This window comes from Homo sapiens, chromosome 5 (assembly GCF_000001405.40).
Source record: "Homo sapiens chromosome 5, GRCh38.p14 Primary Assembly".
Taxonomy (NCBI): Eukaryota; Metazoa; Chordata; class Mammalia; order Primates; family Hominidae; genus Homo; species Homo sapiens.
In genome coordinates, this window is record NC_000005.10 from 126,675,014 (window position 1) to 126,690,433 (window position 15,420).

Consider the following 15,420-nt stretch of genomic DNA (forward strand, 5'->3'; position numbering starts at 1 on the left):
AAGCTTTTTAATCACCTGGGTGCAGGCGGGCTGAGCCGGAAAAGAAAGTCAGCCCAGTTTTTTCTTTTTTCCTTTTTTTTTTTTGAGGTAGAGTCTCACTCTGTCACCCAGGCTGGAGTGCAGTGGTGCAGTCGCAGCTCACTGCAACCTCTGTCTCCCGGATTCAAGCAATCCTTGTGCCTCAGCCTCTGGAGTAGCTGGGATTCCATGTGTGCACCACCACGCCTGGCTAATTTTTGTATTTTTAGTAGAGACGGGGTTTCACCATGTTGGCCAGGCTGGTCTCAAACTCCTGGCCTCAGGTGATCCGCCTACCTCGGCCTCCCAAAGTGCTGGGATTACAGGGGTGAGCCACCTTGCCCAGCCACATTGTTCAGCTTTTAAATTGAATGTCATCTCCTAGGGGAGGTAGAGCAGATGCTGCTGGGTGCCCTGCCCATACCCCCTCACCAGGCTGTGCATTCACCCTCCAGCTGCTACAGGCCTTGGCTGCTAATGGCTCAGGCCATTGTCCTTTCACAGAGGATTGTTGTTGGCTGAGAGGAGCCTCCTCCCCTAGAAGTGGGTCCTGAAGATGATGGCTGAGAGGTTATGTCCTCCTCCTGGAGGAGCCAGGGCCAAAGACTCACTGATGAAGAGATATAGCAGCCTTCTGGTCTCGGGGTGGGACAACTTCTGTGGTACAATTAACAGCTGAGAGCTTGCCGTGGGGATGAGGTGGAGGCTAAATTTCCTTTATTATTATTATTATTGTTTTTTTTTTTTTTTTGAGGCAGAGTCTCACCACTCTGTTGCCCAGGTTGGAGTGCAGTGGTATGATATTAGCTCAGTGCAACCTCCGCCTGCCTCCCGGGTTCAAGCGATTCTCCTGCCTCAGCCTCCCAAATAGCTGAGATTACAGGCACACACTACCGTGCCCGGCTAATTTTTTTATTTGTAGTACAGACGGGGTTTCACCATGCTGTCCAGGCTGGTCTTGGACTCCTAATCTCAAGTGATCCACCCGCTTCGGCCTTCCAAAGTGCTGGAATTACAGACGTGAGCCACTGCGCCCGGCCAGGAGGCTAAACTTCTGAAGTCATTTTGCCTAACTTTTTCCCTGGTGTCTTCTACTTTTCTTACTCCCAGCTTCCTTCTTAAAATCACCGAAGGAAGAATTCCTGCCTCAGTTTCTGCCCACCGGGGAACATAATCTAAAGGTAGTGACAGAAGTTGGCCTAGGAAAGTGACTAGATCTAGATTTGGACATTGGATCACTCGTCCACTAGATGGCAGTGAGAACCCCATCATCGGTGGTGGGAATTACTGTGATGATGCAATTGCTAAAATGTTCACCTGTAGTTTACTGGGGACGAAGTGTAGTTAGAAGTTGTGTTAACTTGTGGAATGGCTCTGGCATTTGAGTGTATGGAGAAAGCAGGGGAAACCTGGGCATGCAGGGCCACTGTACTATTTTTTCAACTTCTTGTGTGTCTGTAATTCTTTCAAAATAAAAACTTTAAAAACTGAAGATAGGCTGGGCGAGATGGTTCACACCTGTAATCCCAGCCTTCTGTGAGGCCAAGGCAGGAGGATTGCTTGAGCCCAGGAGTTTGAGGCTAGTCTGGGCAACATGGTAAAACCTCATCTCTACAAAGAAATACAAAAATTAGCTGGGTATGGTGGTGCATGCCTATAGTCCCAGCTACTCAGGAGGCTGAGGTGGGAGGATCGCTTGAGCCAGGGAGGTCAAAGCTGCAGTGAGCCATGATTGTGCCCCTGCACTCCTGCCTGGGTGACAGGGTGAGACCCTGTCTCAAAACAAAACAAAACAAACCACTGAAGTAAATAAATAGCAATATCATGAAAACAATATTGTATCCTAGGTGGACTAGTAAACATTAGTACCATCCTCAAGGATTAAAAGATGCAGAAACAATGATTCTCACATATCCCTATTTAATTCAATAACTTGGTTTCTGCAAAAATCAAATGAATTGTGCCAGATGACATGGACTACCAGAAACTCAACAAATAGTATCCCCATTTAAAGCTCTTGGACTGGAAGTATTATTTTTACTAGAACAGATTAACATAGATTTTGATATGTGGTGTGTAGCTATTGGACTGGCAACTATATAAATATAAATTAATGCAATTGAATATATTCATGACTTTGTGTCAGGACTATGTTAACGCTCCTATTCTCCATCACAATGCAGTCCAAAGGGACCCAGATCATGTGGCCATTCCACAGAATTTCACATTCAGCAGTTATGTTGATATGATAAGTGAACATAAGAAGTACCCTGGGTTGCTGATAAGACACATGCACTTCAGAAGGTAGAAGATAAGCCCTTAAAGGAGTCTGCCACATGCATTGGTGAAGTTTACAGGGGTCCAGTGCTCTGAGGCATGCCGGCACATGTCCTCTATGGTAAAGAACAAGCTATTGTACCTTCCAACTCCTACCACTAAGAAAAAAGCACAGAGCATGGTAGGCCACTATGCATATTGGAGTTATGTATCACACTTGGAGAACACTGCTTTGATTCATTTATTAGATGATGATGAAGGTTACCAGTTTATTTATTTATTTTTATTTTTATTTTGAGACAAAGTCTCGCTCTTGTTGCCTAGGCTGGAGTGCAATGATGTAATCTCGACTCACTGCAACCTCCACCTCCTGGGTTCAAGCAATTCTCCTGCCTCAGCCTCCCGAGTAGCTGGGATTACAGGTGCCCACCACCACACCTACCTAATTTTTGTATTTTTAGTAGAGACGGGGTTTTACCATGTTGGCCAGTTCATCTCAAACTCCTAACCTCAGGTGATCTGGTTGCCTCAGCCTCCCAAAGTGCTGGGATTACAGGAGTAAGCCACCGCCTCCAGCCTTAAAGTTACCAGTTTAAGTGAAACCCAGGGCAGAAAAAGGCTCTATAGTAGATCCAGTTTGCACTGCAAGGAACATTACCACTTGGGCCATATGACCAAGGAGATTCTAAGGTACTAGATGTATCTGTGGTAGATAAAGATGCAGTGTAAAAGCTCAAATATGAGAATCTCAGGGCAGATGAGAAGGGTTCTGGGGCAAGGCCAAGCCACTGGCAACAAAACTATATACCATTCGAAACACAGCTTCTGGGCCAGGCGCGGTGGCTCATGCCTGTAATCCCAGCACTTTGAGAGGCCAAGGCAGGCAGATCACTTGAGGTCAGGAGTTTGAGACCAGACTCGCCAGTGTGGCAAAACCCCATCTCCACTAAAGATACAAAAATTAGTTGGGCGTAGTGGTGTACACCTGTAACCCTACCTACTCTGGAGGCTGAGGTGGGAGAATCACTTGAACCTGGGAGACGGATCTTGCAGTGAGCCAAGATTGTGCCACTGCACTCCAGCCTGTATGACACAGCGAGGCTCCATCTGAAACAAACAAACAAACAACAACAAAAAAGCAACAACAACAACAAAAACCAGCTCTGGCGTGGTGGCTCACACCTGTAATCCCAACAGTTTGGGAGGCCAAGGTGAGTGGATCACTTGAGCTCAGGAGTTCAAGACCAGCCTAGCCAACATAGTAAATCCCATCTATACTAAAAATTCAAAAAATTAGCCAGGTGTGGTGGCATGGGCCTATAGTCTCAGCTACTTGGGAGGCTGAGGCATGAGAACTGCTTGAGCCTCGGGAGGCAGAGGTTGCATTGAGCCAAGATCAGGCCACTGCACTCCTGCTCAGGCAACAGAGGGAGACCCTGTCTCAAAAACAAACAAACAAAAAACCCAGCTTCTCACACACTATTGGGACCTGGAAGAGACTGATTATGAGACATCCAATGATCATGAAATTAGAGTGAGCTGCCTATTATGATCTACCAAGTCATAAACTCGCAGATGTCAGTGCATTCCATCATAAGGTGGAAACAGTACATCTGAAACTGGGATCAGGTAGGTCCGGAAGGCACAAATAATCTGTACAAACTGATGTCAGTAGTCCAGGCTGACATATCACCCACTATTCTTACACAAACATTTTTCCTTCAGCTCATACCTATAGTTTCATGAGGCTTCACTAGGACCACCCAATAGAGAAAGAAAAATCCTGGCCTTGGTATGTTGCTATAGGCAGAAAAGAGACTGTTGCTGCTCTACGGCCCATTTGGGCTGAAAGATAATGGTGGACGCTAATTATCTCAATGGCCAGAAATTCAGGGGACGGGGGACTCCTGGTTGTCTACTATGTGTGGAGAGAAACATTGCCCAGCAAAAGGTGGGGATACATGGTTCATGGGCAGTGGCAAGTGGTCTGCCGGCTTGGAAATAACAAGACTGAAAAAAATTACAAAGAATGCCTGGAGAGGCTGGACATGGTGGCTCATGCCTGTAATCCCAGCACTTTGGGAGCCCGAGGCAGGTGGATCACCTGAGGTCAGGAATTTGAGACTAGCCTGGCCAACATAGTGAAACCCTGTCTCTACTAAAAATACAAAATTAGCTGGGCATGGTGGCACACGCCTGTAATTCCAGCCCCTTGGAAGCTGAGGCAGGAGAATTGCTTGAACCCGGGAGGCAGAGGTTGCAGCAAGCCAAGATTGTGCCACTGCACTCCAGCCTGGGCAGCAGAGCGAGACTCCGTCTCAAAAACAAACAAAAAAAGAATGCTTGGAGAAGAAGCATGTGAGTAGATTGATGGGAGTGGGCAAGAAATGCCAGCTAATGTCCACTAGAGAGCATGCACTGCAGATGAGGCTCTAAACAGGCAGTCACCTAGTGGATGCCAGCTAGCTTCTATCCTCAGCCACACCAGCGTTTGCACAGTGGTTTATGAGCAGAGTAGCTGTGGTAGAAGCAATGTGGGTTATGCGTGAGTTCAGCAGCATGGGTTCCCTCTCAAAAATGCTGATCCAGTTACTGTTGCTGCTGAGTGTCCAGCCACAGGAACAAAGAGCAAAACTGAGCCCTCCAGGCAGTACAGCACCTTGAGAAAACCAACCGCTACTTGTTGGTAAAATGATTATATCAGACCCCTTTCATTCTGCAAAGAGCAACAATTCAACCTGGGCAACACTGTATTTATTATAGCCTCAGGACCAGCCGCAGCAGTCAGGGTTGTTCAGTTTGTTCCACTAGCCTTTCTCTTTTAAGGTCCCAGAAATTGCACCAGCCAGAATCCCAGAAAACCTGCAGCCAGATGGACTGACATTAACATGAGAAACATTTGGAGCTGAATGGTACAAAGGGTAGACTGTAGCAGATGCTGTTGGTGCCCTCATAAACCCCCCTAGACAGGCTGGTGTGCCAGCATTGGCTGCTAATGGTTTACACATGTGCTCCTCCCCAGAGATTTGCATTTGGCTGAAGGGAGCTGCCTAAGCCTCAGATGACTGAAAGATTAACATACTCCCCACCCCACAGATAATCTGTGGTCAATGACTGTTGGATGCAGGGGAATAGGCCCAGCCCCTTGCTTCCGGAAGGTTCACCAAACATTTGTGCTCCCCCTTCCACAGTGCCCGGAGGCAGTGTCCAGCCATAGACTGCATTTCTCAGCCTCCTTGCAACGAGCCAGGGCCATGTGGATAGTTCTCATCAGTGGAATGTGAGAGGAAATGAGATGTATTCTCTCAAGACCAAGAAGATTAAGAAGCCTTCTCTGCTTGTTCTTTCTCCATCCTTCATCCTGCACGCAGAGGACATGGAAACCCTACAGCTGGGTTAACCCTACTGGTTAACCCTACCCAGATTAAAGGAGCTTGGGTTCCTGAATCACCTCATGGAAGGCTGCCACCAGTCAGGAACACCTGCACTGTTAAGTGAATGAGAAATAAACTTTTACTGTGTTTAGCCACCAAGGTTTAGGAGTTGTTTTATTTTATTTTATTTATTTTATTTCATTTTATTTGAGACGTAATTTCGCTCTTGTTGCCCAGGCTGGAGTGCAATGGTGCAATCTCGGCTCACCGTAACTTCCGCCTCCCAAGTTCAAGCAATTCTCCTACCTCAGCTTCCCGAGTAGCTGGGATTACAGGCATGTGCCACCAAGCCCGGCTAATTTTTCGTATTTTTAGTAGAGACGGGGTTTCTCCATGTTGGTCAGGCCATTCTTGAACCCCAGCCTCAGGTGATCCGCCCACCTAGGGCTCCCAGAGTTCTGGAGTTACAGGAGTGAGCCACTGCGCCCGGCCAGGAGTTGTTTTTTTAAAGCAGCAGCAAGAGGGATATTAATCTAACTAGTATACCCTCTACCTAGGAACTCTAATGGAATTTCTGATGTACTAGAAAGTTGAACTGCATGTTTCCAAAGGTTTCTTTTCATCCAGATTCTCTGGCACATCTCTGAAAAATGACTGAATTGTTTTAGTTATTCTGCCTAAAGATTACATTGCTAACGGTGTCACTTAGCTATTCTATTGTAAACATGATAAAGCACAAAAGCCCATGGCTGAGAACTAGATTCCAGTTCTGGCTCCTCTACCAGCGTGTTATAGGGTCTGGTAAAAAAACTTTTTTTTTTTTGAGACGGAATCTTGCACTGTCATCCAGGCTGGAGTGCAGTGGTGCGGTCTCAGCTCATTGCAACCTCCGCCTCCTGGGTTCAAGCGATTCTCGTGTCTCAGCCTCCCGAGTAGCCGGGATTACAGGCACCTGCCACCATACCAGGCTAATTTTTGTATTTTTAGTAGAGACAAGGTTTCACCATATTGGCCAGGCTAGTCTCAAACTCCTGACCTCAGGTGATCTGGCCACCTCAGCCTCCCAAAGTGCTGGGATTACAGGCATGAGCCATTGCACCTGGTGGTAAAACGTAACTTTACCTCTCTGAGCCTGAGTTTTATCAACTGTAAGATGAAATGTGAGAGAGGTCAATGGGACCTCTAAGAGCCTTTCTAGCTCTGATATTTAATGATTATCTATAGTGTATTTCTTCAAGAAATACACAGCAACAGTTCTTTATAGGCTGAGAGGAGTGGGAGCACAGAACTTCAATGCATTAAATTTTGCAGTCAACTTAACTTACAATAAACTATTTAATCACTGAGTATCTTTTATTTTTGGAGTTTAACATTTGGAGATGAGTCAAAGACGCTAGATTCTTTGCTTCTGGCGCTAGATATAATCACGTAGACTCAAATATTCCATTCAATTAAGGCAGTAATTGGGGGTGATTTATCTTTCAGAGGAGTGCAGAATGGGGCCAAGGAAGTCCAGTGGGAAATGGCTGTGTTTGGCAATACCAAGAAACACTCCAGGGCACCTGGCCACCACCGCATCAGTGACGCATAGCCCAAGCCAATAATGAATTCAACGTTAAGCTAAAAGCTACTGAAATTTTAATTCCTTTAGAAACAAATAGGTATGGCTGTGTTCCAATAAAATCCTATTTTCTGGTTTCAGTAATCATTTTTTTAAAGAAAGTCATTTGGAAGGCACAAAATTATTAAAGAAAGATTTCCAAAAGCTACCGCAGATAAATCTGTTTTCCTGGTAAATGTAAAGTCTTCTGACATTCTGTTTTTCTGAATCTCACATAGTTTTTGTTTGTTTGTGTTTTGGTTTTTGGTTTTTGGGTTTTTTTTGTACAGGACAGGGCATTTAACTGATCACTTGATGCTTGTGTAAGAAATCCAGGCCAAGTGGGCCGGGGGTGGTGGCTCATGCCCGTAATCCCAGCACTTTGGGAGGCTGAGGCAAGGAGATCAAGACCATCCTGGCTAACACGGTGAAATCCCGTCTCTACTGAAAATACAAAAAATTAGCAGGGTGTGGTGGCGGGTGCCTGTAGTCCCAGCTACTCGGGAGGCTGAGGCAGGAGAATGGCGTGAACCCGGGAGGCGGAGCTTGAGGTGAGCCGAGATCTCGCCACTGCACTCCAGCCTGGGTGACAGAGCGAGACTCAGTCTCCAAAAAAAAAAAAAAAAAGAAAAAGAAAAGAAATCTAGGCCAAGTATAGACAAGGAAGGGACTGGAAAGCATCTGGGTCTCTGACTTTTTCTGGGCTGCCTATGTCTCTCACCCATTGTGTAATATGCATGTTTCCATTGGGCTGACTTTCCCACAAGTGAGGACAATGAGCAATCCTCAGAGGCTGGGCTACTAGATTCAGTTTCAACTGTTGGATGATGCCTTGCTGAATAGCCATGCAAGTTTTTGTCAAATTCTAGTGCTCAGCTGCAGTTTGAGCAAAGACATCTTGTAAGGCTTTTCAAGGGACAGAAAAGACAGATGATCTCTTCCCCCTCTTTGTCAAGCATTTTGCTCCATTCAGTTTACCACAAACCTGGCTCTTCAGTGTTTAATCTGTGTACTCCTATTACTAGTATAAAAGGAACAGTGATTTCCTTAAGAACTGAGACCTAAGGTGTTGCTGGCTTTCTCTGCTGAGGATCTGGGGAATTATTTCAAAATCTCCTTACAGAAAAATGCATCAAACACTAGAGGAGGTTAATATAGTTTGGATATTTTCCCTCTCCAAATCTCATGTTGAAATTTGATCCCCAATATCGGAGTGGGTCCTAGTGTTTGGGTCACGAGGGCAGATCCCTCATGAATGGCTTGGTGCCATCCTCGTAGTAATGAGTGAGTTCTCTCTTGCTCTACTAGGTTCCCTCAAGAATTGGTTCTTAAAAAGAGCTTGGTACCTTCCCCTCTCTCTTGCCTCCTTCCTCTTGTCATGTGATGCCTGATCCCTTCTGCCTTCTGCTGTGAGTGGAAGCTTCCTGAGGCCCTCATTAGAAGCCGATGCTGGTACCATGTGTCTTGTACTGCCTGCAGAACCGTGAGCCAAATATAACCTCTTTCTTTATAAATTACCCAGTCTCAGGTATTTCTTCATAGCACTGTAAATAGACTAAGACGAGGTGTTGGAGGATCTAAGACCCGTTCCATTAGGAACGAACAGCATCTAGCACGTGCTTCTAGTATCACCTGGACTTAAAATCTCCGTGGCCTCTGTGTTTCCTCTTTTACCTTCTAAAACCATTCATTTGCCAACTTATGTCTAGTCAATATACACAGGGTTTTTCATATCATTCCTTTCTAAAATTGCCATCACTTATTTCAGGCTCCCTCAATGACACCATAGCATTAGACTCTGAACAGCCTTTCTAGCCCCAAGGCATCTTGACATGCTAGTAGACTATTCATTTTAAACCCATTTCCTGTCCTATTTATTTCTGCTCATTTCTTCTCAGTGGTTGTCTACTGCATACGTAATTAAATATAACCTTACCCTGGCATATCTTAAAATTAAGCTTTAACTTGCTTAATTTTCCAGCATTAATTTTTCTTTTTCTTTTTTTTTTTTTTTGAGATGGAGTCTCACTCTCTTGCCCAGGCTGGAGTGCAGTGGCACAATCTCAGCTCACTGCAACCTCCACCTCCCAGGTTGAAGCTATTCTCCTGCCTCAGCCTCCCTAGTAGCTGGGATTACAGGTGGGTGCCACCAAGCTGGCTAATTTTTTTGGTATTTTTTTAGTAGAGACAGGGTTTCACCATGTTGGCCAGGCTGGTCTTGAACTCCTGATCTCAGGTGATCCACCCACCTCAGCCTCACAAAGTGTTGGGATTACGGGCGTGAGCCACCACACTGGCCTGAATTGTATTTTAAAAGGAGCTCTCGGCCAGGAGAGCTGGCTCATGGCTGTAATCCCACCACTTTGGGAGGCAGAGGCGGGCAGACCACCTGAGGTCAGGAGTTCGAGACCAGCCTGACCAACATGGTAAAACCCCGTCTCTACTAAAAACACAAAAATTAGCTAGACATGGTGGCGCATGAGTGCAATCCCAGCTACTCAGGAGGCTGGGGCAGGAGAATTGCTTGAACCTGGTGTCAGGCCTCTGAACCCAAGCTAAGCCATGGTATCCCCTGTGACCTGCACGTATAAGTCCAGATGGCCCGAAGCAAGTGAAGAATCCAAAAGAAGTGAAAATGGCTGGTTCCTGCCTTAACTGATGACATTCCACCACAAAAGAAGTGAAAATGGCCGGTCCCTGCCTTAACTGATGACATTACCTTGTGAAATTCCTTCTCCTGGCTCATCCTGGCTCAAAAGCTCCCCCACTGAGCACCTTGTGACCCCCCTCCCCTGCCTGCCAGAGAACAACCCCCTTTGACTGTAATTTTCCACTACCCACCCAAATCTTACAAAACGGCCCCACCCCTATCTCCGTTCGCTGACTCTCAGGTGATTAAAAAGCTTTATTGCTCACACAAAGCCTGTTTTGTGGTCTCTTCACACGGACGCAAGTGAAACCTGGGAGGCGGAGGTTACAGTGAGCCAAATGGTGCCACTGCACTCCAGCCTGGGTGATAGAGTGAGACTCTCAGAAAAAAAAAAGAAAAAAGGAGCTCTCTGACTTCCTGAGAGTAAACTGTGGAAAGACCAGGATAGAAACAGGAAAAATCATTTAGAAGCCTCTACAATAATCTGTGATGGTGGCTTAGACCAGGGTGGTGGGCAAGGTTATGAAAAGAAGTCAGAAAGAAGTCAGACTCTAGAGATATTTTAAAGGTAGAGCTGACAAGATCCACTGATGGGTCAAATACAGGATGTGAGAGAAAGGGAAGAGACAAGCATAATTTTAGTTATCCTTTGTCAACTAGAAGGATGAAGTCGGCATTCACCACAATGTGGTAGACTACAAGAGGAGCAAGTTTTGGAAGGTGGGGTGAAGGGAAGACAGATTTTTATTACATTATCAGTGATAACTTAAAAATAGTCCTAATCTTATTCAACATTTTCATTAAAATAGTCCTTTCTAGGCCAGGTTGTGGTGGCTCACGCCTGTAATCCCAGCACTTTGGGAGGCCAAGGCAGGAGGATCAGTTAAGGTCAGGAGTTCGAGAACAGCCTGGCCAACATGGGAAACCCTGTCTCTATTAAAAATACAAAAATTAGCTGGGTGTGGTGGTGTGCACCTGTAATCGCAGCTACTCGGGAGGCTGAGGCAGGAGAATCTCTTGAACCTGGGAACTGGAGGTTGCAGCGAGCCGAGATCATGCCACTGCACTCCAACCTGAGCAACAGAGTGAGATCCTGTCTCGAAGAAGAAAAAACAAAATAAAATAATAAAGTAAAATGAAATAAATTAAGACACATATTCTTTGACCAAGCAATTCTACTTCTAGCTGTGTATGTTAGAGATGTGATCACATACTTCTGAAAAGACACATACACAAGATTATAGTATGTAAGTAGTATGGTATGTAATAGCAAAAGATTGGAAGCAACTTAATACACAATAATAATAGAGTAATGGCCAAATAACCCGTGGAACATCTATTATAAACATCCATTAAAAATAATAAGGCAGATTTGCAAGATACATGATTAAAAGAAAAAGGCAAAGCGTAGAATGATTTGTATAGTAACTACCATTTGTGTAAAAACAATGAGAGAGACAGAATCCATGCATGTATGTTTGTAACTGCATGGAATATCTCTGCAAGTATATATGGCAAATTGATAAATATCATTGATTCTGGAAAGAAACTGGGTGGCTGGAGAATAAGAGTGGAAGGAGACTTTTTTTTTTTTAAACCAAGTATTTTAGCTTGAGTTTGTGGGAATCAAACTCTGAGATAGAAATGAGTGCAGAAGATTTGTTGGGGAGTGTTCTCTGGAGATAACACCTGCAGGAAGTGAGGAAAGCAGCACTTTTTCTTTTTTTAATGTGGGGCAAGTACAGCTGTCCCCAGGGCTCTGGGAGTTCTCTATGGTCTGTCAGGGAATCCCTGGGGGCTAAGACTGCAGTGGCCAGGTTTTGTGCTTATTTACTGGGGGGTGGATTGAGGGAAGAGCTATGTACCCTTGGAGTACCCTGGCCTGACCATCTTTCAGGACACGTCTTGGTCAAGGCTGTCCACCTGTTGCCCTTGGTCCTTGGGCACTGGGAGCCATGGTTGCTGCTGCCTGTCCAGCTGGGCTCCCTTCCTAGGCCTGCCTGAGACCAGAGGCCTTAGAAACCCACAGTGCAGTTGCAGCTGAGAACTCAGCCTGCTCTACAGTTCTGTGATGAGCTCTGGAGTTGGGATGGTCCTTCAGCATCATAACAAATTGAGGTAAGAAAAACAGGAGTTTGTGCCCCCAACCCCTGCAGCCCATCACTGGCCTAGGGCTGCCCTCTGGGAAGGCCCTGGGAAAGGTAGCTCCATGCGGTTCACCCATTGACATTCCCCACAGCAGGGTTAGGGATTTCAGAGCCCTGAAGAAGATCCGGGCAGAGCAACTTCAAGTTTGTTGAAAAATAAAATAGAGGCTGGGCGTGGTGGTTTACACCTGCAATCCTAGCATTTTGGAGGGCCGAGGTGGGTGGATCACTTGAGGTCAGGAGTTCGAGACCAGCCTGGCTAACATGGTGAAACCCTGTCTCTGCTAAAAATACAAAAATTAACGAGGCATGGCAGCACGTACCTGCAATCCCAGCTACACGGGAGGCTGAGGCAGGAGAATCACTTGAAACCAGGAGGCAGAGGTTGCAGTGAGCCAAGATCGCCCCATTACACTCCAGCCTGGGGGACAAGAGCAAAACTCTATCTCAATAAAAAAAGAAAAAGAAAATAGAATAGCTTGCGTATGGTGGGCAAGGAGCCAGTACTCTACTCTGAAATTATAGAAGGCTGGCACTGAAAGCCCTCCTTTGAAATTGTCTTTGGGGGCCGGTAGCCTTCTTTTCTTTAAACAGATTACTCTGACATTGGTTCGACCTCCTAGCCCTGTCTCATCCAAGAGGGTCTTTCTATTCCTTTGAGGCCCCCATTCTCCCTCAGGTGACAGAAGAGGAAAGAGAAATAACCAAAGTGACTTGCCTTGAGAAAGCAGTTTACCACTCTACTTTAAATGCCATATTTTATCTCCCAGTCTAATTTTAGCTAGAGATTCTTAGCTACATCTAACTATCTAACTTGAATCCATTATGGTATTTTCTGTTTTTTTGTTTTGTTTTGTTTTGTTTTTTTGAGACACAGTTTTACTCTGTTGCCCAGACTGGAGTACAGAGGCGCAATCTTGGCTCACTGCAACCTTCGCCTCCTGAGTTCAAGCGATTCTCATGCCTCAGCCTCCCAAGTAGCTGGGACTACAGGCATGCGCCACCATGCCCAGCTAATTTTTGCATTTTTAGTAGAGACAGGGTTTCACCATGTTGGCCAGGCTTGTCTTGAACTCCCGACCTCAAGTGATCCTCCTCCCTTGGCCTCCCAAAGTGCTGGGATTGCAGGTGTGAGCCACTGTGCCCGGCCTTATTATGTTTTAAAAGGAGTTTGGTATCTTTTTCTTTGTGCTCTTTTACTTCCTTATTTATAAAGTTTAATAATTCACATGTTGCCTAGATTCTTCAACAAACAAATGAGATTTTTTTTTTTTTTTTTTTTTGAGATGGAGTCTTGCTCTGTCACCCAGGCTGGAGTGCAGTAGCACGATCTCAGCTCACTGCAACCTCTGCCTCCCCAGTTCCAATGATTCTCTGCCTCAGGCTCCCAAGTAGCTGGGATTACAGGCACATGCCACCATGCCAGGCTAATTTTTTTACTTTTAGTTGAGACAGGGTTTCACCATGTTGGCCAAGCTGGTCTTGAACTCCTGACCTTCTGATCCACCTGCCTCGGCCTCCCAAAGTGCTGGGATTAGGCATGAGCCACCATGCCCAGCCACAAGTGAGATTTAAAAAGATTTAAGAGACAAAGGAAATAGTGAAACTTATTTAATCCTGGGGCAAAAAAAGAAACAAACAAACAAAAACCCACCAAAAACCCACCAAAAACCCACTGCAGGCCAGGTGACCTGGCTTATGCCTGTGATCCCAACTCTTTTGGGAGGCTAAGGCAGGAGGATCACTTGAGCCCAGGAGTTTGAGACCAGCCTGGGCAACAGAGGGAGACCCCATCTCTACAAAAAATTTAAAAATTACAGGCGTAATGGAATACACCTGTGGTCCCAGCTACTTGGGAGGCTGAGGCAGAGAATTGCTTGAACCTGGGAGGTGGAGGTTACAGTGAGCCAAGATCATGCCACTGCACTCCAGCCTGGGCAATAGAGTAAGACCCTGTCTCTCAGAAAAACAAAACAAAAATAAATAAATAAATAATAAAAATCCCCACTGCAAATGAATATTTTTAAGACAATCAGGGAAATTCAAACACGGACTAGGTATTAGATGATACCAAGAAATTATTGTCCATTGTACTACATATCATTTTGAAGTCCTTCTCTATTAGCAATCCACGTTAAAGCATTTATGAGTGAAATAATACAATGTCTGAAATTTGTTTTTAAAATTTCATCTAAAAAGAGGGGTGGTGGGAGGGATAGATGAAACAATATTGGTAACATAATAGTAATTGCTGAAGCTGATAACAAACACATTGAGTTTAATGTGCTATCCTCTCTACTTTCATACATATTTTTAAATTTCCATAATGAAAATGTAAGAAATTCATGTATCTAAGTATAGATACTTACTCTGTCATCTCCCTGAATTGTATCATTGAAGAAAAAATGAAGACCACTACATGTTCAAATCATGACTCTCTTTTGTATTGATACAATTAGTGGGAGCATCAAGCCTCAATTTGTTCACACATTAGTGTCTGTGTTGGTTCAAAATTTGCTATTTCTACCACTGCAATTTCCTGCACAAAGCATTTCATTTATGACAGTCTAGGCTAATAACTGTAGCCATGAAAAACATGACAAAAGAAAGCTTAGTGCTTCTCAGCACTTATGAGAGTGAAGACACACTCTTTCCATGGCAGAGTCTCATGTACTGGCATGTAAATTTCCCCCACTAAATTAATTTATGCATTCATGTGTGCACCTGGGGTGGGTTAGAGGTGTAGGAATATGTACCCATTCTACACTGGTCTGTTTCTTCAATGAACAAAACAAAACACTGCTTGAAGATCATTTCTAAATCATTTCTAACAATGATGTTCACATATTAAGCCCTCTGTGCTTTCTGATTTCAGAGAGATTATACTAATAAACAGTGCTTCTAAAATGTTTTGCTCCTTGGAACCATTTACATTCTTAAAAATTATTGAGGGCAGGGCATGGTGGCTCATGCCTGTAATCCCAGCACTTTGGGAGGCTGAGGTGGGCAGATCACCTGAGGTCAGAAGTTTGAGACCAGCCTGGCCAACATGGCAAAACCCTGTCTCTATTAAAAATACAAAAATTAGCTGGGTGTGGTGGTGTGCACCTGTAATCCCAGTTACTCAGGAGGCTGAGACAGGAGAATTGCTTGAACTTGGGAGGCGGAGGTTGCAGTGAGCCAGGATTGCACCACTGCACTCCAGCCTGGGTGACAGAGTAAGACTCTGTCTCAAAAAAAATGTTTATTGAGGACCTCAAAGGAGTTTATGTTCATGTGACTTGTATCTATTGATATCTACTACATAAGAAATTAGAACCAACTGGGCGTGGTGGCTCGTGCCTGTGATCCCAG

The 15,420-nt window shown here is 45.0% G+C and overlaps 1 annotated feature.

Annotated features, from left to right (window-relative positions):
• Positions 106-700: an enhancer, noted in NCBI's record as "H3K27ac-H3K4me1 hESC enhancer chr5:126010811-126011405 (GRCh37/hg19 assembly coordinates)". NCBI's record gives its function as "activates a minimal SCP1, AML or CMV promoter by ChIP-STARR-seq in naive H9 embryonic stem cells {active_cell/tissue: H9 hESC(naive)}" and the evidence as "EXISTENCE:reporter gene assay evidence [ECO:0000049][PMID:30033119]".